The sequence below is a fragment of the Homo sapiens genome, chromosome 20 (assembly GCF_000001405.40).
Source record: "Homo sapiens chromosome 20, GRCh38.p14 Primary Assembly".
Taxonomy (NCBI): Eukaryota; Metazoa; Chordata; class Mammalia; order Primates; family Hominidae; genus Homo; species Homo sapiens.
In genome coordinates this window covers 36,364,104-36,391,739 of record NC_000020.11, presented here as the reverse complement: position 1 = coordinate 36,391,739, position 27,636 = coordinate 36,364,104, and the positions used below count along the sequence as shown (strand labels likewise).

At 50.2% G+C, this 27,636-nt stretch overlaps 1 protein-coding gene across 5 annotated transcripts in view, besides 1 other annotated feature; it reads right to left on the bottom strand.

Annotated features, from left to right (window-relative positions):
- DLGAP4 (DLG associated protein 4) overlaps window positions 1–27,636 on the bottom strand; it is a 222,295-nt gene that overhangs the window by 136,894 nt on the left and 57,765 nt on the right. For all 5 annotated transcript variants that reach the window (NM_014902.6, NM_001365621.2, XM_011528689.3 and 2 more), the window contains exon 2: window positions 24,465–24,695. The gene's annotated coding sequence lies outside the window, so the exon portion shown is untranslated. The remainder of the gene's footprint in view (window positions 1–24,464; window positions 24,696–27,636) is intronic.
- Window positions 23,454–24,102: an enhancer, noted in NCBI's record as "H3K4me1 hESC enhancer chr20:34996041-34996689 (GRCh37/hg19 assembly coordinates)". NCBI's record gives its function as "activates a minimal SCP1, AML or CMV promoter by ChIP-STARR-seq in primed H9 embryonic stem cells {active_cell/tissue: H9 hESC(primed)}" and the evidence as "EXISTENCE:reporter gene assay evidence [ECO:0000049][PMID:30033119]".

The window sequence follows — 27,636 nt, the reverse complement described above, 5'->3', positions numbered from 1 at the left end:
ACCCCCCAGCACTATAGACTGGGGGGTGAAGGGTGGGCGCTGTTCCATTTGCAAGACAAAGGGACTGGAGCTCAGAGCTGGGTAGTGACTCATCTGAGACACCAGTCAGGAAGCAGAGCTGTCGTCAGCCTCCAGCGTCCCAGCTTCTTCCACCCAGCCAGGGTTTGTGGCTGCTGGGAACAGTGTTGGGCACAAGAGAGAAGGCAATTCCAAAATGCAGGGGGTGGGACTTCAATTGGTGACAGGTGGGACTGTGATGAGGGCCCTCTGTGGTGGGTGCGTTTGAAGTTTTTGGGCTTTAAAGGATGAATAGAGCTGCTCTGAACCTGGTCCCTGGGGCTGGCTTTATCATGAAGGACACAGATTTTATAAATATCTCAGCCCTCACCACAGATCGCATGGCCTGGAGAATTAGAGAGGAGGCAAATTAGGAGAAGGGGCGGGAGAGCTTTCAGCTGTGCTGGCAGCCTGTTTGGGGTTGCAGAGGAGTTCATGGTCAGAGTGGGCGGCCTGAATGGTTCTATCTCCCACGGCTATAGGTCCCCAGGCCACTGCAGCTGAGGCCAGGGTGTCGGGGGCAGTCTCTGAGATAGAACCCTCAGGGCACAATCTGAGTCACTGGCCTAAATGGGGGTGGGGCCCCTCAGCTGAGTTTCTAGCATTTAAAGGGGGAGAAGGAGTCCCAACTATTCATGTCCCCAACTGCCAACCATCTGGGTCAAGGCCAGAGCTCAGAGCTTAGTCTGAGGCCAGGGTCACGGCTCAGCTTGAAGAAGAGGTCAGAGTTGAGTCTTGGATCAAGGTCAGGTCCCAGTCTGGGGTCAGGGTCAAGGTTCAACCTAGAGAAGGGATCAGGGCTCAGTCTGGGACCAGGGTCAGGGTTTAGTCTGGGATCAAAGTCAAGGCTCAGTCTGGGGGCAGGGACCAAGGCTTAGTCTGTGGATAGGGATCAAGGCTCAGTCTGGGGCCAGGGTCAGGGCTCAGTGTGTATCCAGGATTCCTCAAGTGGGTAGTTCACTCCTTATACTAAGTCTTACTTAGGGACAAGCTAGTTCTCCTCTTGCAGTAACACAGACCCAGGATCCAGGACCCTGCTCTCTCCTGGAGAAGGGAGCTGTGACCAGCAGTTCAGTTAGACTAGAGGGGGGTACAGTGGAGGCATGCCCCCCCACTCAGGATTGCTATTCTGGGCCTCTGTAAGTCACAGCGTGGGAGTTAAATATAGGGGGACACCATGTGGCAGGCAGTAGGTGGTTAATGACCCTGCAGGAGGCGAGTCAGAACCCAGAGAAGCTGTAGTCAGGGTAAGGAAGGGGAACTAGCTTTGGTCAGAGAGGCAGAAGGCTTGGGTTTGAGGCCTGCTAGGTTCCTGCCTCTCTGTGTGACTCCAGGTTTAGCCCTGCCTTCTCTGGGCCTCAGTTCTCCTATCATGGGAGTGCAGCTGAACTTGAATCTCTAAGCTCTCTTTATCTGTAACAGGCTGTGGACGACGCTCCTTCTCAGGCTGGGTCTGATGGGGAACTCAGGACCTCCATTGTCATCTCCAGGGGTCAGAGCCTTACTCAGCTTTCAAGGCCTATGCCAAATATGATGTCTTCTGTGATGTCTTCTCCCAGCTGAAGTTCACTGCCCCTTGGTCCAGTTTGCACACTTCTCTGCCCCTATTTCAGCCTGGAGCCCATGCTGCCACGCAGCAGGATAGGTGTGGTCCTGGCTGTTTCCCCCATTAGAAGGCCAGGAGCCCAGCCTCCACCACCCATGCTTTGGTTTCATGGCCTCCAGAGTACCAGTCATGGCCCCTCTGAACCCCAGAGCCTTTGGGGACTAGAGTCATAGCAGCAGCCCCTGTTGTTACTGTATTTACTGTATGAATGGCTCTGAGGACATGGATACTCTGCACACACCTGAGCAATTAATTGACTTATTTTCCTTTCAAGGGCACAGTGAATCATGCTACTTCTTGTTTCCTTTTTTTCTTTGTCTACTAGGAAGCTCAGAGGCAAATTTATAGCCTACCTTTAATAAAGTATAACCTAGAATCATCTTGTTTTGTCTTTTCTTTTCTCCTTTTCTCTTATTTATTTTTCTTACTTATGTAAGGTAATTTTTTTTAAAAAGAGAGAGGAAGAAAAGGAACAAATGAATCAATCAGGAAACCTTCACAGCTTAGACTCACAGCTAAAAATGATAATTACTAGAGTTCATATAGACAGTGCTTAGCGTGCAACAGGTCTCAGGTAAGCCCATGACTTGGCATCATTCATTATCTCCTGTAATCCCCACCACATCTCTAAGGGAGAGATGGGCATTACTGTTACCCATTTGGTGGATGGGAAAGCAGAGGCACAGGGAAAGTAAGTAACTTGTCCCAGACATACAGTGAGAAACAGCCAGAGCTGGTACTCGAACCACCTGACTCCAGAACAAGCCTTCTTAACCACTGTGCTGTCCTACCTCTCAGAATAAAACTACGTCTATGCAATAGCAGAGGAAAAGGTCTGGGAAGGTCTGATGACCCCCACATTGACACATCAGGCCTGGAATCCTCCCTCCTCCCAAACCCTAGATTCACATATCCAATTTTCAACTCAACATCTCCACTTGGATGTCTAACAGGCATCGCCAACTTGTCATGTCTAAACCTGAACTCCTGACCCTGCAAACCTGCTCTTCCCGGTCTTCTCCTTCCCACTGATGGGAGCGCCACCCTCACAATGGATCAGACCAAAACTCTGGACTTGGCCCTGACTCCTCTTTGTCATCCCCACAACCAGCCCCACAGCAAATCCTGTCATCCTAGTTTCTCAGGCAGAGGATGCAATGGTGGTCCTTATCCTGGCCAGAGCCCATCTGGGTGCCCCTTTCAGCTCTGGACACCTCTTCTGATGGGTAGGCATGGAACAGTGACCAGGAGCATCATGAAGAAGTAATAATCGCAGGAAAAGTGTGAACAGCTATCACTTCCTGGGCACCTGCACCAGGCTCAGGCCTTATGCTCCGAATCATTTACATCTCTCATCAACCCTCTGAGGTAGAGGGTCTATTACCCCAATTTAACAAATGAGGCACAGAGAGGTTAACTGCCTTTCCCAGAGTCACACAGCTAATAGGTAAGTGAGCAGGAATTCTAACTCAATGTGTCTGACTCAAGTTCAAACATACCACGCTGCCTGCCACTAAGCCAAGTCTTTGACGCACATCAGAGGGAACCGGGGTTATTGAGTTTGGGAGTCTAGAGAAAAGAGTTGAGGTGGAGGGGAAATGTCTGCTCTCTGAGGTCAATGAAGGGTGGGCCACGGGGGAGGGACGTGTGTTCTGGGGGCTCCAGGAGCTGGGGAGGAAGTGGGACACAGGGAGGCCAACTTCAGCTCAGTGTAAGACAGCACTTTCTAACAATCAGGCCCCAGACAGACACACACAAAGGAGTGGGCTGCCTTGCCTGATGGGAGTCCCATCTCCAGAGATGCCTGACAGTGTCATGCTATGGATTCCACTGATGGCAGCAAAGCAGAGTGCGAAGAGAACATACAAAGGAAGAATCAAGAAGTGGGGACGGGGAGGCTTGTCCTACCAGATATCAAGCCACATAATACAGCTATCTGTGGCAGTTCTCAATAGCCAAGGGACTGCCCTCCTAGGGCGACTTTGCAAACGTGTTTTTCTTCATAACACTCGCTCAGGGTATTTTTCTTCATAACACTCACTCAGGGGAGGGTTCTACTGAGTGCCAAGGACTGGATGACGGGTGCTCAAGAACTTATAATGAGCAGGACAGTCCCACCCAAGGAAGGATTGTTGTACCCCAAATGCCAAGATGTCCCTGTTGAAAAATGATGAGATACAGTGATTAGTGTAGAACCGAAATAGACAAAGAGATAGACAAAGAGATCAATGAAACAGAACAGAGTTCCCAGAAACAGATCCATAAATACATGGGCGCTTAAACATAAAACAGAGATGGTATTTCAAATCAGTGAGAAAAGGACAGGGTGTTCAATTAATGCTGCTGGGACAATAGGCTAGCTATAGAAAAATGAAATCAGATCCCTATTTCACACCGCATGCAAAGATAAAAGACCTAAACTTGATTAAATATCTCAATATGAAACAAAAGGAAATAAAATGAAAATACTTAGAAGAGATCTAGAATTATCTTTATGACCTTGGGTGGGGAAGGCCTTCTTAAAGAAGTTGCAAAGAAATAAAAGCAAGTGAAGGGGAAAATAAATTTTACTACCCCCAAAGTTTAAACTTCTGAATGTAGAAGACACAAAGTTAACAGACAAGCAACACAACTTGGAGAAAATATTTGCGACAAAGATAACAAGGATTAATATTCACATATATAAACCTCTTTACAAATTAATAAGAAAAAGATGTGACGCATAAAAAACTGGGCAAAGTATATGAACAGGCATTTTGCAGAAGAGAAAAATTCAGATGACCGCTAAACACATCATGAGACACTCAGCTTCTCTAATAGTCAGGCGACGCTAATGAAAATGAGATATTTTCTCCCAGCAGATTGGCAAAATTAAAGAGCGATGAATCAACTGATGCTGAGGTGCTGAGGAAATGAGAACTCAGATATATCACTAACAGGAGTGCAAAGTGGCATAATTACCTTGGAGGGCACTTTAGCAGTGTTTATTAACACAGAAAATCCTGCTTCCAGAGAAATACTAATGCATATTCACAGAGATCTTCATGGTGGAGAACCAGAACCACTGAAATATCCACCGGCAGGAGGATGTGGTATAAGCATACAATGGAATACTATTCGGCAGAAAAAATGAACGAGCTACAGCTGCACTTGTATACATCTCAAAAATAAGTGAAAAAAGAAAAATGCAAATATATTAATTGATTATGATATAATTTATGTAAGAAAATCATTCAGGCTGAGCAGGAGTATCACTTGAGCCCAGGAGTTTGAGACCAGCCCTGGCAACACAGTGAGACTTCGTCCCTACAACAAATAAAAAATTAGCTGGGCATGGTAGTGCACACCTATAGTCCCCCAGGTACTTGGGAGGCTGAGGTGGGAGGATCACTTGAGCCTGGGAGGTCGAGGCTGTAGTGAGCTATGATTGCACCACTGCACTCTAGTCTGGATGACAGAGTGAGACCCTGTCTCCCCCTTCCCCCAACCCAAAAAGAAAACTGTTCAAACAACACCCCTGGGTTTGGGTTTGTGAGTTCCCTCTACATGGAATGCCTTTTAGTATTTCCTTCTTTCTTTCCTCCCTCCCTCCCCCATCCCTCTTTTCTTCTCTTCCTTCTTCCCTCCATCCTTTCCTTCTTTGTTTCTCCCTCCTTCCCTTCCTCCCTTCCTTCCTCCTTTTCTCCCTTTTTTCCCTCCTCCCTCTCTACCTTCCTTCCTTCAGCAAACATGCTTGCTCTGTGCTGACAGGTGCTGAACATGAGGTCAAGGCCCCAACTTCTATCCTTGCTATGCAAGGAACTCCCCTATGATTTGAGCCCCAGAATGACCCCTGACCCTGGCCCCACACTAAGCTCTCACCTCACACAATGTGTCACGCTTGCTTGCTCTCTGGTTCTGTGTCCTGCTGGCTGCATGGGCTGCTGAAAGGTTCAGGGGAGAGTGTGGACGAGGTGGGCTTTGTCTCCTAAGTGATCCCAGCCTCCGCTGAGGAGGCTGGCTGGTGGTGCCGAGGCCCCCGCCTTCCTTTCCCTCCTGTTCTCTCTATTACTCCTGCCATCTTTTTCTCCTTTCCTTCTTCACTCTGCTTTAGTGCCAGGCTTTGGAGCCAGGGTAGGGTGTGTGAGGAGGGTGCAGCTAGATCTCTGGGCCCAGAGCTGCAGAGCTAAGCCTCCTGGGCTGAAGTGGGGAGGCAGATCTCTTAGGCCATAGGTAATCATGAGAGCAGGTGGCCACCTCCTTCCAAAAGCCAAACAGCTGCGAAGGGCAGCCACCATAATCATGTCCAGAGCCTCAAATGGCCACAACAGGGCCCTGGAGAGAGGGTGGCTGAGGACAGCCTAATTAGGCATGACAGCAGCCCCATGAGGCGTATGCAGCTTGGAGCCATTAGGGAGGCTGGTGGAGGAACAGCCAGAGCTGGCCTGGCCACTGACCCCCCACAAGGATGCTTGGCTCTGGGGCTTGAGACTGCCTGCCCGAAGGAATGTCTGTCAGCTGGGACTGCCAGGTGCTGCCCCAGCCATGCCTACTAGTCCTGCTGGGAAATGGCATTGGTGGCTCAGGGCATCAGTTCTAGGCCCTTTTGCACTTTTGCTTCTTGCTGTGCTTCCTGGGGTGTGTGTAGGGGGCAGTCTTTCCCTCCTCTGGGTCTTATTTCTACTACTAAGAACTAACCTGCCAGCCCTTTTCAACCCACTCTCTCTTCTGATCCTGAAAACCATCTACAGGGCAGTGATTACCGTGCTCTTCCGCTAAGCTAGAGGTGGAAAAACTGAGGCCCAGAGAGGGTAGATGACTTGTTTGAGGCCACACAGCTCACAGTTAGCAGATCCAGGATTTGAATCTTGGGTCTCTGACACACAGCCCCTGTTTGTGACACAACAGTATTTCCTCATCTTCGTGGGGCTAGTGGTGAGGGGAGGGTGGTGGTGCCATATTCCTAGGAGAGGAAAGACACCAAAGGAAGCCAAATCCAGCCTGAGTCCTACTGCCAACTTAGCATGCCCCCAGCAGGTCACACCCCTTCTCTGGGCTGGACCAGATGACACCCAGGATTAGATACTCAAGTCTCTGGTTCTCAAGGCCTTTCTCAACACCACCTCCTAGCTAAGTAACCCCCTTCCACTTCCATATCTGTAAAATGAAACCAGTTGCTCTTCACCAATGTGGTTATGCAGGTAGAGTGACCAGGTTTGTCAGGTGCCCAGTACAGGTCCTGGCACACAGTAGGTACACAGTAAATGGGCACTTTCTTCTTTTCCACACAATCTCTGAGCCTTACACACCACCACCCCTGATCTCCTTGTTTCCTTTCTGGCTCAAACCTCAGACTTTGCAGGAAGTTCTATGAGGTTCCAAGAGTATCTGCATTTGACAATTCACTCCTGCTTTCCTCCGTGTGTAAGACTAATGCCACCACATCTGTGCATCAGTTTACAAAGCCCTGTCCCACCCATTAGTTTGTGTTACACTACCAACAACCTTCCTATTATGACTGAGGAAATTGAGGCTAGAAATACAGTCCCCAGGTCACTCAACTTCTCTAACCTTCAGTTTGCTCACCTTTAACATGGGAATAAATATTAGTACCTCCCCTGTAGGTTGCTGCTTAGAAATAAATGGCATAATACATCCAAAGTTATTAAAAGGGTGCCTGGTAGATGGTAACAGAGGCTCAAATCCTACCTCAGATATTGCTCAGATTTGCACAATGCCAGGGCCAAAGCTTCTGACCTCCCAGTTGGGTCCCCAGAAAACCACACAGTCCTGGAAATGATTCATGAAAACTCTCAAGACAGAACCGAGGACAGCACCCCCAGGCGTCGGGACCAGGCCAAATCTCTACCCTCTCTATCTTCAGCACCACGGACAACACCCCTGACATCAGCACTAAGGACAGAGGCAAACGAGTGCCCCGCACCCCAAACAGCACAGCTCAAAGGTCAAAGTGTCAAAATCCCCTTCCCCCATGCTGAGGTGGCAATGAAAGCTTCTTTTTTTTTCTAGCTAGTTACTTGCCCCACATTTAGTAAGGCCCTGAGAAGCTACTTCCAGGTCTATTTCTTTTTCTTTCTTTTTTTTTTTTTTTTTGAGACGGAGTCTCGCTCTTTCACCCAGGCCGGAGTGCAGTGGCGCTAAGGAGTGCCATGAGGCTCACTGCAAGCTCCGCCTCCCGGGTTCACGCCATTCTCCTGCCTCAGCCTCCCGAGTAGCTGGGACTACAGGCGCTCGCCACCACACCTGGCTAATTTTTTGTATTTTTAGTAGAGACGGCGTTTCACCGTGTTAGCCAGGATGGTCTCGATCTCCTGACCTCGTGATCCGCCTGCCTCGGCCTCCCAAAGTGCTGGGATTACAGGCGTGAGCCACTGCGCCCGGCCTTCCAGGTCTATTTCTATTTGCATCTCTTTCATTCCAGAGACCAGTTTTCCTGTGTGTTTCTCACCCCGTGAAGTTCCTTGGATTGGGGTAGCTCAGGAAGGCTTTCTGGAGGTTCTTGACTAGGAAAACCCATCTTCATAGGCCAAGAGAGCCTCCCAAACCTTCCCTTTTTAACCTACTGGCTTCATTTCAGACACAAGCAGGGACGGTCACTGGATACAGTGTTACAGCCAAGTGCAGCAGCAAGGGACAAGCCCAATGCCACCTCATCTCAAGGGCTGGGCTTGTTGCCCTGTTCTCAAGACAGTGAATAAGGAGAAACACTGCTGATCCTTCAGCCTGTCCCACTCCATCACTCATCCCTGAGGCCGTCTTTTATTGGCTCCTTGCCCATTTGATGAGGGCTAGATTTATTTCTGCCCTGATCACCTCTCTGATATCACTGGCTGCCCACATGGTCTCAAAGTAAACAGCTTGAGCTGCCTTGAGCCCTTCTTTAAGGACCCTCAGGACTTCAGTTCAGTGGAGACCCCAGCGGAGCCAGCAACTCTGTGCTTCTAAAGCAGCCTAAGGGGAAGATGGGGCACAACAGAATACCAGTGTCCTCCTCTGATACATGGGAAGAAGGCCACCTCCTCAGAGTTGTGGTGCATTAAGATGGTGTGACCAGCACCAAGTGTGGCACATAAAAAGGGCTTAGTAAACAGCTTAGTAAACATTCCCCCTTCCCAACAAGGACAATGTAATGATAGCAATGATGATCACTGCTCATGTTGAGTGTCTACTATGTGCTAGGTCAAGATATTGAGGGGTAGACAAGACAAGGACAATTATACCCATTTTGCTGATAAGAAAACCAAGCCAGCCAGGCATGGTGGCTCACGCCTGTAATCCCAGCACTCTGGGAGGCTGAAGTGGGTGGATGGTTTGAGGTCAGGAGTTCGAGACCAGCCTGACCAACATGGTGAAACCCTGTCTCTACTAAAAATACAAAAATTAGCCGGGTGTGGTGGCACACACCTGTAGTCCCAGCTACTCGGGAGGCTGAGGCAGAAGAATCACTTGAACCCGAGAGGCAGAGGCTGCAGTGAGCCGAGATCGTGCCACTGCACTCCAGCCTGGGTGACAGAGTGAGACTCTGTCTCAAAAAAAAAAAAAAAAAAAAGAAAAAAAGAAAGAAAGAAAGAAAAGAAAGAGAAAAAGAAAACTAAGCCAAGGCAGGAGGATCGTTAGAGACCAAAAGTTTGAGACTAGCTTGGAAAACAAAGCAGTACTCAGTCTCTACCCTGCCCCTCCACCCCCACCCCCTAAAAAAGGCCAGGCACAGTGGCACTACTCAGCCACTACACAGTGGCTAAGGCAGCCGGATTATTTGAGCCCAGGTATTCAAGGCTGCAGTGAGCTATGATTGCCCCACTGCATTCCAGTCTGGGAGAGACAGCAAGACTCTATCTCAGAAAAAGAAAAGGAAAACCAAGGTTTCAATGGGCCAAGAAATGTCTCAAATGTCACATAGCCAAACAAGTGACAAAACCAGATCTCTGCCCTCAAATTCCAGGCTGCTTCTCCACCTCCAGATCTCCCATAATTGCAATCATCCTCACTTCTCACCTTGGGGTACCCAGCACAGCCCATTCACTGCTTGCCAACATCCAGTGCTGGATGCTCCATGCCCAGCTGGCCAGCTGTCAACAAGCTGCCAGACTCAGACACTGGGGTGGGCAAGGATGGAAACAAGGCCCAGATTCTTTGCTCTCCTGGGACCCCATGAGATTCCAAGGGGATCAGATGCAGCCCACTCCCATCGCTGCCACAGGTGTCTCTTCTCCTAACATGGCAAGGAGAAGCCCCCATCCCAGCTCTACATCAGCCTCCTACACATACAGAGGAGAAGAGCTTATGAGACACCCACCATCATCACCAGCATCAGCGATAGCCCCACCAGGACCCATCATACCTGTCATATAAGTAAGGAAATGGAAGCCCGGGGAAGGGAAGGGGCTTACCCCAGGACACCTGAACAGAATGTTCTCAGGACTCTAGACTCCTCCAGTGCCTCTGCCCCTAGACTGGGGGCTCAATGAAGACAGGAGTCACAACATTCTTGTTCACTGCTAGGTCCCCAGCACCCATCTCAATGTTCACCATAAAATGACTTTCTTTCCCTGCTTCTTCTGAAGGGAGGCATGATGTGTCACCCACTTTCTCTAACCAATCCAGAGTCTTGTACATGGTAGGCCACTAGTGGGTATTTCTTGAACTATCTCATTCATTCAATAACTATTTATTTTGTGCCTAGTGTGTCCCAGCCATTGCTTTAGGTGGAGAAACCACAGTGGTAAGAAAACACAGACAAAAATAAATCCTCTGTTTTGACACTGATTGAAGTAGAGTGAATTTGTTTCCTTGCCCATCTTCCCTATCTGTTGTGAGTGCCAAAGGGGCAGGGACTGTCACTGTCATGTGCAGTACTGTGTTCAGTGCCCAAAACACAATATATGCTTGCTTGCTTGCTGAATGAATGAATGAATACATGTAGGTAGAGTAGTAGAATAAAGGCAGCCACCATTTATTGAAAGGTTGCCGATTATTTTATGTACATTAAATATCTCTTAGAATCTTTCCCTGTGAGGTGGGTACTTTAAGGTGGATCATGCTAGCTATCCTGCTAGCTATTCTTCCCTTTTTCCTAACAGAAGGGCTCAGTTAGAAATATTCACTTCATCAGCTTCCCTTGCAGCTAGGGTGTCCATGTGTCCAAATCTGGCAAAAGAGAAGTAGGCAAAAATCCACAAAGTGGGGCTTCCAGGAAGTCTTTGTTTCCCTGGTAGGAAAAGGAAACTCGCGAAGCATGCAGGCTTTACTCTCCTTTTCCTGTCTAGAATTCAGATGCAGCACATGGCAGAGGAGCAGCCATTTTGTAGCCATGAGAATGAAAGATGCATGCTAAGGGTGTCAGAGGCCTGGGCCCTTGATGTTTCATCTGAATCACTGCACTGGCCCTGGCTTGCCTGCCTGCCTCTGAGATTCTCTCTCTCTCTCTCTCTCTCTCTCTCTCTCTCTCTCTCTCTCTCTCTCTCTCTCTCTCTCTCTCTCTCTTTAATGCAGACAGGGTCTTGCTCTCTCATCCAGGCTGGAGTGTAGTGGCATGATCATAACTTACTGTAACCTCGAATTCTTGGGCTCAAGTGATCCTTCTGCCTCAGCCTCCCAAGTAGCTGGGACTACAGGAATGTGCCACCATGCCTGGCTAATTATTATTTTTTAAATTATTTTTACTTTTTTTGAGACAGGGTCTCACTGTCACCCAGGCTGGATGCAGTGGTGTGATCTCAGCTCACTGCAGCCTAGACCTCCTGGGCTCAAGTGATCCTCCCATTTCAGCCCCCCAGGTAGCTGGGACTACAGGCACACACCACCACACCTGGTTATTTTTTTTTTTTTTTGTATTTTTTGTAGAGGTGGGGTTTTGCCATGTTGCCCAGGCTGGTCTAATTTTTATTTTTTGTAGAGATGGGGTCTTGCTATGTTGCCCAGGCTGGAATGCAGTGGCATGATCACAACTTGCTGTATCCTTGAACTCCTGGGCTCACATGATTCTCACACCACAGTCCCCTGAGCAGGTGAAACTAGAGGTGCCTGCCACCATGCTTGGCTAGTTGTTAAAATTTTCTGTAGAGACAGAGTCTCACTATGTTGCCCAGGCTGGTCTCAAATTCCTGACCTCAAGCGATTCTCCCACCTTGGTCTCCCAAAGTGCTTGGATTACAGGTATGAGCCATGGCCCTGAGATTCTTGTTACATAAGAATAATAATCTTCTGGGTATTTATACAAATGTTACTTGTTTTCTGTTACATGCAGCTAAATGCAATTTCAACTGATTCGGTATTATTAGAACAGGTGAGGCTTAGGGAGGGAGGTCAAGTGATTTTCCCAAAGTCACAGAGCAAGGAAGCAGATCTGGAATTGGCCACTGGGCCGAATGCCGAAGCCTGTGCTCACTCTACCTGTGTGCTGTCATTCCCACCTGCAGCCCAGGCTGCCAGGAAGCCCCTCCCCACAACCAGCACCAGGCTCTCCTCTAAAACTCTTCCTGACTACCCTGAGGTCTGGGTCTAAGTTTCCCTGATGTCTTCTCTCTTACCTGACCCCACCCCAGCTACACACAGGTCCAGATCCTCCTTTCAAAACATATGTGCCTCGAGTCCCAGGATTCCGCTCAGAGCCTGACCCTGTGAGATGCTCTCTGCTCATCCACTTCTCCCTGGTCCAGAATTCCCCCCAACTGCTCCAACAGCATGTGCGGCAGATGCTCAAGGCATCTCTGCAGACAGGTCTCCTGGTTCCATCTCTTCCCCCTGACAGGATCCCGCACCCACCACCAGAATAGTCTTTCTCAAGAGCATCTCCCATGGGCCTGGCCCTCGAGGCCTCCAGGGTCTGGCTTCGGCCACCTTCCCAACCTTTGTTCTCGCTGCCTCCTCTGCCTCCCGCCACTTTACCCATCCAGCATTTGCAGGGCCAGCTCCAGTGTGTGCTTGAGAGGACAAAGAGGGCCTCTCTGACCACCCTGTCTCTGGAAGGTACTCACTACCACTGTCCTGTGGCCCCCTCTCTCTTGGCACCTGGGGCTATTTGAGCATCACCCAGAGTGTCGCTAGCTTACTGCTAGCATGTTTGCCACTGCCTCCCTGTCCCAGAACCAGAGCTTGTTGAGGGCAGGAAGCGTGCCCATCTTTTCCAACCACTTCCCCAGTCCCTGGCACGAGGCCCGGTACTTGGGCTCACTCAGGAGGTGCTGAATGAAGCTCAAACTTGCTTCCCACGCCTTCCCACCACCCACTTTCTACTCCAGCCAAATAGAATTACTCCAGCTTCCCCGAACCCTCCTACTGTGGCTGACACTCAAGCGTCTCCTGCACTCTGCCTCCAGCCAGGCCTGCAGAGAGCCCAGGCCTTGCCGGGCCTTCCTCTTCCCTTTCGCCCATCAAAACCAAGCAGAGGGCAACTCCAGACTCAGATGGGATGCATGAGATTTTGGGACACAGGTGCGTGCGTGCATGCATGTGCGTGTGTCTGTGTGTATGGAGGGACTGGTGTCTACATTCTACCCTGGATGTGGCAGCCTCTGCCTGTCCTTACTCTTGCATTTCTGCCACTGGTTACACCAATCTGAGCTAAGTCTGAAATGCCCTGGTATTCCTTGAGTAGCCACAGCTGTAGGAAAGGACAAGGGAAAAAACATTAACATTTACTGAGCCCATATTAAGTGCTAGGCGCTGTTCTAGCCCAAATAATAATGATAACAAGGATGATGATAATACTAGTGGCTAGTATTTGTTGTGCATTTAGCATGTGCCAGGCACCATCCACCCTAAGGCTTTTAACCAGACAGATCCTCCTATTATCCCCATTTTACAGATGAAGAAAAAGAGGCTCAGAGAGGTGGAGTCACCTGAGATCACAGAGACAGGAAGTGATCTGGAGCTTGGTATCTACCGTCCCAAACCTGCTCCTCTGCCAGGTTGAGTAGGGTAACACCCAGGTGTCTTGGCGTAGGGGGAGGAGCTTCCCCTTGCAACTCCTGCTGCCTCTGAGTGAAAGGCTGGAAGCAGCAACTTCCCCAGGGGCTCTCCTGGGGGACAGCTGGGCTGGTAAGACTTACCCTAATCAGCAAGGCTGTAGAACAGTGCTCCAGCCCCCTGGAAGGACCAGGCCCGAGGAGTAGCAGGGTGGACGGAAGTCGTTGAGCCTGGGCTCCGCTTCCTCAGTAAGGCTGAAGATTTTCCCAAAAGCCTGGGCCAAATTTATCTGCCAATCCCCCGAAGAGCTGATTCCAGCGTCTGTCTGGAAATGTCAGCCCGTGTGGTTGGAGGAACGCGGGGAGAGTTTTCCTCTAAATAGCAGGAAGCATATGGGAGGCGGATGGCATCCGCCGCCCCAACCTGCCAACTCTTGCTCAAGTGGGAGCTAAAAGGGGCCCAGAAGGGTCTGGAAATCCTACCACCTCCCAGGGAGGTTGAAGGGGGAGCTGGAGACAGAGACGGTGGCAATGAGAAGGGCAGAAAGTGGGTCCCGAAGGGCAGGCAGGCAGGAGCACCCTGATGAGCAGAGGCGCCTGAGGCTCTCAGATGGAAGTGACACGCCCAGGAATCTAGCGCAACATCCACAGTAATAATAGCCACCATTCACCGAGCGCTTGCTATGCGCCAAATCTGGGTTAAGCACTTTATTTGGATGATTTCACTTAAACTTTGCAACCAACTCTAAGATGGGGGCTGCTGTTATCCTTGTATTACAGATGAGGAAACCAAGGTTCAGAGAAGGAAGGACCTGAAATCACACACTCTCTGGGCTGGAAAGGACCTTCCAGATCATCAGCTGAATCACAAATCCTCTACAGACTCTCTGCCAAGCTATGGTGCAGCTGCTGCTTGAATACTCTCAGTGATGAGGAGATCGCTACCTATCACCCAAGCTAGCCCATCTGCAGAGAATTCTTTGTATCCAAAAGGTTTTCCTAGCCTAAGCTGGGATCTCCTTCCCTGGAGCTTTTCCTGTGAGTGCCAGACCCAGACCCTGCCTCCTCCAACAGAGATGGAAAGGCAGGAAGCCAAGCCCCTCTCTGGTTTCCCTTCTCCAGGCAACACACTCCAGGTCCTTACACAGTTGCCCAGGTGGCGATCTGGAGCTCCAGTGCCAGCCAGCTCTCTCACCCACCTCTGCCCCTGGACCGTGGTAACCAGAATTACTTCCCGTCACCAAGCACTTCCTATGTGCCAGGCACCGTGGAGAACCTGCCCTTGACACGCTCTCCTCCCACCTTCCCCACAACACCTGGGGCAGCACTATCATCACCTCTGCTTTACATAGGAGAAAACTGAGGCTCCACAAGGGGAAGAGACGCGGGACCCTGGAGGCCTCATCAGGCTGCTGCTCTAAGTCTCACGAAGCTGACGAGGTCCCTGCGGGCTCCACCTGGGGACACTGACCCAAGCTTTGCCAGCATTCACCTCAACATTGGTCCACAGGGCCCCCAAGCCCACATCACCCTCCTAACTCTCTCTCTCCCCTTGAGCAGCACTCAGTCTCCAAATCTTGTTGAATCTCCCTGCTAAACGCCACTCTGTGCCATTCTTATGGTCCTGTCCTACCTGCTGTCACCCCCAAGACCAGCCCAGGATCTTGATTTATTTTTTTAAAAAATTATATATATATTTTGAGATGGAGTCTTGCTCTGTATCCCAGGCTGGAGTGCAATGGCACAATCTTGGCTCACTGCAACCTCCACCTCCCAGGTTCAAGCGATTCTCCAGCCTTAGCCTCCTGAGTAGCTGGGATTACAGGCGCCTGCCACTGCACCCAGCTAATTTTTGTATTTTTTAGTAGAAATGGGGTTTCGCCGTGTTGGCCACTGAACTACTGACCTCAGGTGATCCACCTGCCTTGGCCTCCCAAAGTGCCGGGATTACAGGCATGAGCCACCACACCTGGCCTTAAAAAAATATTTTTAAAGAGACAGGGTCTCTGCTGGGCACAGTAGCTCAAGCCTGTAATCCCAGCACTTCGGGAGGCCAAGGCAGGAGGATCACTTGAGCCCAGGAGTTAGAGGCTGCAGTGAGCCCTGATCACGCCACTGAACTCCAGCCTGGGCAACAGATCGAGAGACACTGTCCAGAGATGGAGAGAGAGACAGGGTGTTGCTCTGTCGCCTAGGGTGGAGTACAGTGGTGGGATCATAGCTCACTGCAGCCTTGAGCTCCTGGGCAAAGCCAGGATCTTTCCAACACCCAGACCTAACCTGCCGTTGGCTCCCTTTTACCTTAAGGGTCAAGTTCAAACTCCCCAGCCCAACAGTTGAGGCCTTTTAAGCTCCAGCCTTGGTCGACCTCTCTAGCCCTGTGTCTCCCCACCATCCCTCACTCCCTCCTGCCTAAAAGCTCAACAGGAGGCAGGTGAGATCTTCAGAGAGCCCCTCCCAGTTGCTTCTCCCTGGAGAATCCCTATTCATCCTTCAACACTGCTTGGAGGAACAGAATCAACTGCTTTGGCTCCAGAGATCCCTGAGTGATCAGCACTTACCTCTCATATCTCATGCCTCACCTGTCATCGCTGATGGAGATGCTTCTCTCCTGGGCTGAATTGAGAATTTCCCCTGGGCAGGGGCAGCTCTGATTCGTCCTTGTAGCTCCAGGTCTAGTGCAGCACCTGGCACATGGTAGGCACTGATAAATGTCTGTGGAGTGTGGGGATGAATGACTAAATGAAGGCCATGGGGCATGATAAAGTATTGGAGATGACCCATAAAACACAGCTCGTGCAAGTCATAACTTTGCTATATCAGAAACAAAAAATGCTGCTCTCAAAACAGTCACAAAACATTTGAGGATTTAGAAGAGAATCAGGGGATGATCTGGCAATGACTGGAGTTTCCAGAAAAAAGCTGCCCAAACCCAAGCAGATGAAGTGACCAGCTCCCACCTGCAGGGTGGCAGGAGACAAGGAGCAGGGCCACAGAAGGGACAGGCGGGGGAGAGGCTGGGTCCATGTCCCAGCCCTGCCTCCAACTTGCTCTGCGTTGTCACATAGGCGGCTTGGCCTCTCTGAGCCTCAGTTTCCTTCTGTGTAAAATGCAAGGGGCATTTGTAAAATTGGCTGAAGCAGCAGATGTATGTCTAAAGGCCTAAACACTTCCTCTACTGTCAAGGTAATGGGACTCTCTCTGCCCTCCATTCAAACTCCCAGCAGGGTTTGCAGACATCCAGGGCTTCCTCATCTTGGACCCCCCTGACCTGGAAATGCAGGCTTCTGCCTGCCCTCCCAGCAGGTCATTTGGGGGACAGCCTGCAGTGCCGGGATTGTGGACTTGGTCCTGTGAAAAAGCTTTCTAACTAGCAGTGCAGAAAATGGAGAGTGAGCTCCCCATCTCTGGAGGTATGCAAGCAGTGGCTGGGCATCTCAGGACAGGAATTCTGACTCAGGGTGGGAAGGAATTTAGACCATTAGATATCTAAGGCTCCCTTGAGGGGCATTGGGTCCTTTTTCTCGTTCCCCATGTGGGGCCTTGATCTAACTCCTCCAGGCTATGCTTCCAGCACAAGGCAGAGTGAGCTCACTGACACTTCCTTCATCCCACAATATCCCCCAAAGGCTCCCCACTGCCTTCAGGATCAAGTCCAAGTTCTTACCCTGGCATTCAAGGCCCCTGTGGTCCGGGCCTGCCTCCTCTCATCCTATAGTTGCACTCCCACCACATGCTCTGGGACTTTGACACATTGTTTTTCCTGCCTACAACATTCTTCCAGCACTCTGGTTGGCTACTCAGTTTAGGCATCACCTCCTCCAAGAAGCCTCTTCCTTGTCCCCAGGCTGGCCTTTTCATTCCCACAGCCCCTATATGCACATCCACCTTAGCACCTCTCACATTCCAGACAAATCATCCATGTGCTCCCCTCTCCTCCAAAGACTGCAGTCATTTGGAGGGCCAGGACAGCTCCCTGGCAGGACAGAGAGGGTTGATGTCTCCCTAGTGAAATCGGTACTTCAGAAATTCCAATGTTCTGACTCCAGGAAAGTCGAAGGCTGCCTCAGTGAGCTTCTGACCGTAAGATCTGGGTTCAAGACTCCTTTATTTTCTTTTTCTTTTTTTTTTTTTTTTTGAGACAGTCTCACTGTCACCCAGGCTGGAGTGCAGTGGCACGATCTCGGTTCACTGCAACCTCTGCCTCCAGCATTCAAGCGATTCTTCCACCTTAGTCACCCGAGTGGCTGGGATTACAGGCGCTGGCCACCACACTGGGCTAATTTTTGTATTTTTAGTAGAGACAGGGTTTCCCCATGTTGGCCAGGCTGGTCTTGAACTCCTGTCTGACCTCAGGTGATCTGCCTGCCTTGGCCTCCCAAAGTGCTGGGATTACGGGCATGAGCCACCGCACCTGGCCAGGACTCCTTTCAATAGTTGCATTGTTTTTTTTCTGATTTTGAAAACCATGCATCTTGGGCAATTCAGATAATTACAGGAGGTGGGGGTTGCTGGGTTTGGCTACCATTTGGTCTACTTTAGGTCATAGCCTACATCTACTTCTGGGGAAGCCACTTTTCCCCACTCTCCACTCTTGAGGTTCCAGTGGTATTGACCCCACCCCCAGCTGGTGGTGGATGGTACACAGGCCCAGGCTGCCAATCAGAGCACCAAATTCTCCTTAGCAACAGCAATTGATTGAGGGGTGGGCACATCCCACAAATTTGACAAATCAAGGCCAAGACTTAGTTCTGGGACTTGTGTTTGAGCAATCAGGGAAGAATTCTTGCTTATTTCTTTGGACAGAAATCTTATTACCTGTACATGAGAGCTTAATGAGAACATGGAAACAACCCAGAGTTGAGAAACAGAAATCAAGTCCTGGTGGCCCTGAGGTCCTGGATCCAGCTGAGCCTGAAGCCATCAGACCTCTGAACTTTACAGTTACAAGTCAATCGAATCTATTTTTTGTTTAAACTAGTTTGGGGTGGGTTTTCCATCACCTTACTTGAAAAAACTCTGAATGATAGAAACAAAAATCAAAATAGAGCTCACCTATATCTCACCATCCAGAGGAAGCCACTATCAACAGTTTAATGACTACTCTTCTGAGCATCTCCCTAGGCAGGAGCACGCATATGTTTATATATATTTTTCATAACAAAAGTGAAAAAAAAATCAGTAGATACCTAAGTAGATATCCTGTTCCTCCCTGCAAATCCTAACACTCAGGAAAGATTCCAAATCCGGATGTCACACAACATACATCAATTTTTAACCTCCTGTTTTTCCCCAACAATGCGCCATGGACAAGTTTCCATGTCAACAAATAGAGATTTACAGCACTGTTTCTATAGCTGCGGAAAATGGCATTGCCTGGCCGGATGTAAGTTATTTAACCAACTCTCACAAACAGAGAATTGGGTCGTTTCTAATTTATCACTGTAATCAAGAAAGGTGCAGTGAACTTACTTGCAAAATGCATATGTTTGCAGTTGCCGGATTATTTATGACTAAGATTCCATGATTCAGAGAGTTTGACTTCACGAGTGTACGTTGTTCTGCCTGAGATTTAAGATTCTCTTAGTGGCTGTAAAGTAGTATCTGTTTTCCTGGGCAGGTATACTAGTTGTGAAAAAAAAAAAAAAAGCAAATCCTGGGCCAGGGTGTCCCCATCACAGCTTATCTAGCAAGGATGCTCACTGGCAGATGTGAGGGAGGTGATGGGGAGGGAGGTGGTGGGGAGAGAGGCGGGGTGTGGGTTGGTGCTGACCTGAGGTCCAGCTGGCCTTGTGCCCAGCCAAGCTGACAATGTGACAAAGCCCACCCTGGGCCTTGTCTCCTACCTGGGTCTGACTCCCAGTGACGGAGGGAGAGGTAAGCCTGGGGAGCCCTGGCAGGACAAGCCGACACACGGTAGGTGCCACCTTTAGCAGTCACAGTCATAACAGCAGCAGCACCGTCAGGGATGCAAGCCTGGTACTGCCCTAGCCCTCCACATGTTTCTACTCACTTAAGCCCACACCTACCCTCGGACGCTATTCTTATCTGTTTTGCAGAAGAGGAAACTCAGCCTCAGAGAAGGCCAGTGACTTGCCCAAGGTCACACAGTCAAAGGGATGACCCAGATCTGCTGATTCCCCAGCCCATGCCTTATCCCATTGAGGTGGGTAGCAGGAGAGAAGAAGTACCCTAGGCAAGATGGTGGGAACCCTAAAATCCTCTGTTCCTCCCCACAAGTCCTAAAACTCAGGAAAGACTCCAAATCCAGAAAAGTAGAAAGAAGAAGCAAAGATCACCCATGCCCCCACTTCCCAGGAAGAGCACTGTGCAGTTTCCAGAAACACATATAATTCTTACAGAAATGATATAATGCTACCCATGCTGTTTTATAACCTCTTTTTAAAAAAAAAAACAAAAACCTCTACGACACACTATGAAGTTCTTTATGCAATAATAAATTTAGCTCCATGGCCCCGTTTCTAACAGCTGTAGCAGGCGCCACGGTGTGGCTGCAGTAAAATGGCTTTAACTGGTCCCGTGGTGATGGACAAATGGGTTGTCCCCAGTTGTCCTGCTAACAGCAACGATGTTACATGAGCACTGTCCAGCACGGCTGGATGCACGTCATCCTTTCGGGTCTCAGCTCAAGTGCCATCTCCTTAGAGAGGGCCATCTTGGACAGTGCCATGTCACACAGGTCTCCTACCGGTTCATCTTCATGATGTCACCACGTTAATTTCCCTCACTGCACCAATGGAGTCTCTCCTCATTCTGTGTATGTCTTTGGGTGACTGTATAATATCTGTCCCTCCCCAAGCCTGTGTGCTCCAGGAAGGGTGTGGACTAGCAGGGACTAGACTCAAGAGATGTCCTTGGAACGCATGAATGAAGAGATGCTCCGTCAGCATAGCAGACTACCCCGCTCCATGACATGTCCCTAGTGTCAGTTCAGGGCCCCACAGAGCTGCCTTGGAACTCACTTCCAGCCATGTGCTGCTTGGAGCATCTATGCCCAGATGCCTGCCCTGCCAGGGACCCCAGCACCAAGCAAGGCTTTCTGCACGCACAGGATACAAGGCACTGGAGTCTGGCAGAGCAGCTCCACTACCCACTGTCTGTGTGGACTTAGGTCTCAGTCCTCTCATTTGTAAAATGGGGCCAATACTGCTAATCCCACAAGGTTGTTCTGAAGATTAAAGAAGGGAACAAATGTGCTTAGCACAAAATAGGTCCTCAGAAAATTGCAGTTTGGCCCCCCATCCAGTGAGTTCACAGGTGGGTCTGACCCTGTCTCACCTGGATGGCGTTTTTTACCTTTAAAAATTTTTTAATGTTATTTATTTATTTAGAGACAAGGTCTTGCTCTGTTGCCCAGGTTAAGGTACAGTGGCATGATCATACTTCATTGCAGCCTCAAACTTTTGGGCTCAAGTGATCCTCCCACCTCAGCCTCCTGAGTAGCTGGGACTACCGGCACATATCACCATGCCTGGCTAATTTTTTTTTAATTTTTTTGGAGAAGGGGGTCTTGCTATGATGCCCAGGCTGGTCTTGAACTCTTGGCCTCAAGCCATTCTCCCACCTCTTTTATTACTTTAAATGAGACCTGAGTATGCCTTGGCCTTCTCCCCAGGCCTGTCCCTAGGAACGTCCCACTCCTATCCTTTAATACTTTTTTTTTTGAGACAGGGTCTCACTCTGTCACCCAGGCTAGAGTGTAGTGGTGCAATCTCAGCTCACCATAACCTCTGCCTCCTGGGCTCAAGTGATCCTCCCACTTCAGCCTCCCAAGTAGCCACCACACTCAGCTATTTAAATTTTTTTTTTTTTTGGAGAGATGAGGTTTCACTATATTGCCCAGGCTGATCATGAACTCCTGGGCTCAAACCATCTTCCTGCCTCAGCCTCCCAAAGTGCTGGGATTACAGGTATGAGCCATTGCACCCAGCTCTTTGATACTTGTTAAACAGCTAAATGCTCTGCTCTGTCCCCTTGGAGACCCCCAGGCTCCTCATCTGCTGCCTATGACTGCACACACCTGCCTGGCCTCCCAAGCCTTAAAAATAGAAGAGGCACAGACATGTCTGAGGAAAAAATGGAGGAGTCCCTGGCCCTTTGCGGGGAACTTCCTGGACCCCGATCCTTGCACATGAGGCTTAAGTCAGTCTGTCTGGTTTCTCATCTCACCTCCTCCACTCTTTGGCAGCATGACAAGTAGTTTTACCTCTCCAAGCCTCACTTTCCTCCTCTGTAAAATGGGCAGAATAAAAGAATCCAGGAGGATTCAAGGAGATAAAAAATGCTTAGCAAACAGCCTGTTAGTAAGTGCTCAATAAACATTAGCTATTATTTTTACAATTGTTTTTTAGCCGTTTTACTGTGATATGTAATAGAAAGAGTAAAGTGCACAAAACAAAAATGTTTACTGCAGTAAAATATCAAAAGGAAATAGTCATGTAACCACCACCCAGGTCACTGCTGGCCCCTCAGAAACCCCCTGAGGTTCCCTTCCCAATGTTCTTTTCTCCACCAAGGCAATCCTTGTCCAGCCTTTATGGTGCCATTACTATTGTTTTTATTATTTTTTGAGACAGAGTCTGGCTCCATTGGCCAGGCTGGAGTGCAGTGGCTACTGCAACCTCTGTCTCCTGGGCTCAAGCAATTCCCCTGTCTCAGCCTCCCAAGTAGCTGAGATTACAAGCGCCTGCCACCACACCTGGCTAATTTTTGTATTTTTAGTGGAGACAGGGTTTCACCATGTTGGCCAGGGTGGTCTCGAACTCCTGACCTCAGATGATCCGCCTGCCTCGGCCTCCCAAAGTGCTGGGATTACAGGCCTGAGCCACCATGCCCGGCAGCCATTACTATGTTAATAAGTTGATTAAAAAAAATAAATGACTGTGTGGCCACTCTGCTGTGATTCAACCAGGTCTCTGGGTCTCAGGACCCAGCACTCCTGGCTGCCTCTGCCCTGGAGACACCTCATCCCATTTTCTAGCTCCGGCTTCGGCTGTTCTTTAAATAACCAGCTTGTTAGCAAAATAGCAGCAGTAACACCTCCCTCGCTGCCGCCCGGGCCTCCATCTTTCCACGCGATGCTGACGGCTGCTCACCCAGCTCGTGCCAAGGAATCCCGTTCTCCGTCACTGGGCCACACACGCCAGGGGCTGTCTGCTCTGCTGCGTTCTCAGAGCCTGGCCCGGAGGGTGGAGGTGGGCACTGGATGGCAGTAATTTTCAGGAAATGCTGGCTGTTAACAGATGAGCCCTCACCCCTAAGTCCCTGCCTCAGTCTCCCCCTTCACCTTCCACAGGGTTATGGGGGAATTTAATTGAAATAACGAAAAATGCAAAGCATTTAGTGCGATGCCAAACACATAGTAATTGCTCAAGAAATGCTTGCTGTTATTCAGCTGGCCCTCATTACACATTTAGTCCCTGGAGAGGCCCTTGCATTCCTTGAGCACAATAAGGTGTGTTTGCAAATGATTAAATCCCACAGACACAGCTCTCAGACCAAGCCATCCTTATCACCTGTCCTGCACCAGCTTCTCAGCCAAAAGCAACGGCTATTTGCAGCCGCAACAACAGACTAGGAGCTGGGTCGGGAGAGCCAGGTTGTGGGGCAGCTAATTAATGGGGCCCTTTTCATGGTTAGTCATAATAAGGCTGGCGCCACCCCAGCGGGCAGCTCCTTGTTCTCACAGAAGCACTTCTACATACGTTATCTACAGTGAACTTCAAGGGTTAAAGAAACAAAAGATCCCATTACATTTGCATATTATACATATTTACGAATCTTTTCCCTTCTCATAACCATCCCATCAGGGAAGCTGGGCAGGCTCTAGCAGATGAGAGAATTGGGACCAGAGGGGCTGGCCACCTTGCTGAGGGCATGGGCTCACCGCAAGCCATCTGGGGCAGCAGGGACTGGCACTGGCCAAAAGGCCAGGAGGCGCTCAGGTCCTGCTGGTGTCTGGGTGGAGGGAGGTAAGAGAGGTTTCCCTTCTTCTCTCCCCCTTTCCTTCCTTCCACAGCTATTTACTGGGTACCCACTGTATGCCAGGCACGGGGCCAGCTGCTAGTTGGCCAGAAGGGAATGAAGTGGTTGTTCTTTGTCCTTGCAGAGCTAAGGCCAGAGAAGGAGGCAGATTTTACCCCAGTGGCCCCATGTAGTGCTTCGTGGTGGCTGGGTGAGCCTGCACGTAGGCCTCTTGACCTGGTTGAGCCTCTGTTTCCTCATCTGTGAACTAGATTGTTATGCCAGCAGAGCCTTGGGAGGCGGAAGGTGAAGAAAAGATGCAAGCAGCATGGTGAAGTGGTGGCACTGTGGTTGCACCCCCAGACAGACGGTTGGAGACGGGGCAGGCCCAGCACCTCATCCTGATGGCAAAGTGGGAGCTGGAGGAGCATGGGGAGAACAGGCCAGAGGGGCAGGAATGTAGGGCCCCCCAAGATTCAAGAATTCTGATGGCCTCCCCTCAAGCCGCCCTGGGGGCCCCAGAGGTTCTATGGCCTCCAGCACAGCTCATGGCTCCCTTCCTGTCCTGAGCCTATGTGCACAACCTGTCCCCGCCTGCTTGGGTGTGGCAAGAGCTGGCCTTTGAGGTGGACAGAGCTGGGCTTGCTGTGCACCCCAAGCAGGTGGCTTCCCCTCTCTGAGGCTGACTCCTCTGGAAAATGGGCGTGATCACCACACGCACCTCCTGGTTGTTGGGAGGACTGGCTAAGACAGGCCATTGAACTATAAATGGTGCCCAGACATATACAAACTCTGACTGAGGTCCCTCTGCCAGCATGTGGGTGCCAGTGGAAGTGAGGCTGGGCATTTCCCAACTGTGCCAAGCATGGGGGGCTGGTGAGGAGACAAAGCCTGCGGACGCAGTTACTTACCAACCAGGGAGCTACAGGCACAGGAAACACGGCAAGCTGTCGGGGCCCAGCAGGAGTCAGCTCAGGAGCGGGCACTGGACCGAGGGCTGGCACACACATCCCTCTAGGCACTTGATCAGAGGTGCCGGCAGGAAGCAGCTTGGGACAGGGGCTCTGCCACCGCCCGGGGGCCACCAGGTCCTGGTCACACACAAGGCCCCAAGGTTCCTGGCAGAGGGGAGGCACGGGTGCCTGCAGGAATGGGGAGGAATGGTGATTAGGAGGTGCTGGAGGTAAGCCCTCCACCTGAGACCCTTAGACTGGCCCTGGGGACACGAGGGAAGGAGACGACATGGAGCAGTGGTCATAGAAACCCAAGTGTTTGCACAACACTACATTTTCCAGAGCACCCTGGCATCCCGGCTCATGTGAGCACCCACATTGTTTTTTTAGAGGCAAATTTGCATGTCATGCATATTTACAGTGCCTTTCCCACCACCCACAGAATCCCCACAGCAGTCGGGAAGCTGGGTTCCAAAGTCTCAAATCCTTCCCTGTCTTGCTTCTTCCTCCTTTTCCCCGGATGGGAGAAGTTGGGAAAGGGGTAGGAGTCATGCAGTCCTGAGTTCAAATCCCAGCTCAGCCTCTCACATGCGGGGTGACACCAGGGAGGCAGCTTCCCCTTTCTGAGCCTCAGTTTCCCCACCAGCCAAATGGGAACAAGAGTGCCTTCTCTGAAGGCTACTGTGAGGACTGAGAAGACAGTGCAGGTGAAATAAGCCCAATAAAGGCCCTTCTAAGAGGCCCTTCACTGCATCACCACCTCCATGTGGCACTCTCGTGTGAGAGCGGAGGGAAGCCAGGTGTCCCTCTCCACCCACTTCCCCTGAACAGGTGTCACTGCTCCTGCCTGGATCTTTAAATCAGCAGGAACCAGGCTGGGTGCGGTGGCTCACGCCTGTAATCCCAGAACTTTGGGAGGCTGAGGTGGGTGGATCACTTCAGGTCAGGAGTTTGAGACCAGCCTGGCCAACATGGTAAAACCCCGTCTCTACTAAAAATACAAAATTAGCTGCTTGAACCCAGGAGGCAGAGGTTGCAGTGAGCCGAGATGGTGTCACTGCACTCCAGCCTGGGCGACAGAGCAAGACTCCATCTCAAAAAAACCAAAACCAAAAACAAAAAACCCACGAATCAGCAGGAACCAGTCCTCTAGGGAGAAGAAAAAGGCCCCTCTATTCCACACCCCTCCCAGAAGCCTTTTGGCTGCCCTGGAGGCCTCAGTGGAACACCCTCCCCTCACCCTCCACCCTCTCCCCTCCAATTTTACAGGTCAAGAAACTGAGACACAGAAGAAGCCTAGCTGGTGTGGGGACACAGAACCCGAGTGGTAGGTCGGGATTTGAACTCAGGCTTTCCACGTCTGAGCCCTGAGAGGAGAGGTCCAGGTCTAGGGGGCTCTGGGATGGGAGGAATAAGGAGAAAGGGACAGTCGCTGGTCGGGGAGGCTCACCTTTCTCCCCTTGCTATCTCAGGGCCCTGAAAGGCCTCACCATCTCTCCTTAGCATCTGATCAAGAACCAAACCTCCAGAATCTACTCAGTGCCAAACCTGTAACAGGCTTTACCTCATTTCCTTCCTGCCACAGCCTTACAATGTCATCTCTATTTTCCAAAGGAAGCATCCAAGGCACGGAGAGCTTCGACAACCACACACCCAGGAAGAGGCAGGGCAGGGCCTCCAACCCAGGCACCTGACTCCAGGACGATGCAGCCTCCCCCAGGGACAACATCACCAAACCAAGAAAAACAGGCATAGCCACCTGAATAAAAGTGTTAAGGAGCAGAAAAAGAAAATACAAACCCCAAAACATTCTGAGTCAGTAGACACAAATTCTCGAAGATGCATAAAAGATTTCAAGATTCACCATAAGGTGTGAAAATTGCCAGGGCGGGAAAGACCGGTGTTTGAGAAGATGCGTTCCTGACCGAGTTGTCACTTTTAGCCAAATTCACCCAGAGCCCAAAGCTGAAGGAAAAGAAGTGGCAACCAAGGGAGGTGGCCTGTGCCCAGCACGGCAGGGTGCCGCAGGGCCCTGGCCTAGGGGCCCGAGGCCTCCTCAAATTCCCCACCTCTTCCTTGCTGACAGAACGGCAAGTCTCCTCCTTGATTCCCCCTTCTTCTTCTTCTTTTTTATTTTTTGAGACAGAGTGTTACTTTGTTGCCCAGACTAGAGTGCAGTGGTGCAATCATAGCTCACTGTAGCCTTGACCTTCTGGGCTCAAGCGACCCTCCTGCCTCAGCCTCCTGAGTAGCTGGGACTACAGGCATGCACCACCACACCTGACTAATTTTTGTATTTTTTGCAGAGATGAAATGTCGCTATATTGCCCAGGCTAGTCTCGAACTCCTGGCCTCAAGTGATCCATCCACCTCAGCCTCTCAAAGTTCTGGGATTACAGACATGAGCTACTGAGCTTGGCCCCACTTCTTTATAATGGTCGGGAAGCACCATTATACAGTCTCTTGGGTCCGGGCCATCTGTGATGCTGTTGAAGATTCTGCAGCTTCCAACATGGATGAACTTTGAAATGTGATGCTAAGTGGAAGAGGCCAGACACAGAAGACAGCACATGGCATGACTCCATTTCAATGAAATATCCAGAACAGGTGCCACTGTACAGACGGAAAGTATATCTGGGCTGCCTCAGGCTTCCCAGTGTGGGGACAGGGACTGAGAGATGGTGACAGCTAAGGGGTGTGGGGTTTCTTTTTGGAGGTAATGAAAATGCTCAAAAATGGATTGTGGTAACAGATACACAACCCTGTAAATATACTAAAAGCCATTAACTATACACTTTAATGGGTGAGTTGTATGGTATGTGAATTATATCTCAATTCTTTTTCTTTTCTTTAGAGATGGAGTCTTGCTATGTTGCCCAGGCCTGGCCTCAAATTCTTGGGTTCAAGGGATCCTCCTGCCTCAGCCTCAAAAGTAGTTGGGACTACAGGCATCAGCCACCACACCAAGTTAGTTTTTTAACTTTTGTAGAGATGGGGATCTCATTATGTTGCCCAGGCTGCTCTTGAACTCCTGGCCTTAAAGGGTCCTCCCACTTTGGCCTCCTGAATAGCTGGGACTACAGGTGTGTACCACCATGCTCAGCTTCTATATCTCAATTATTAACACTTA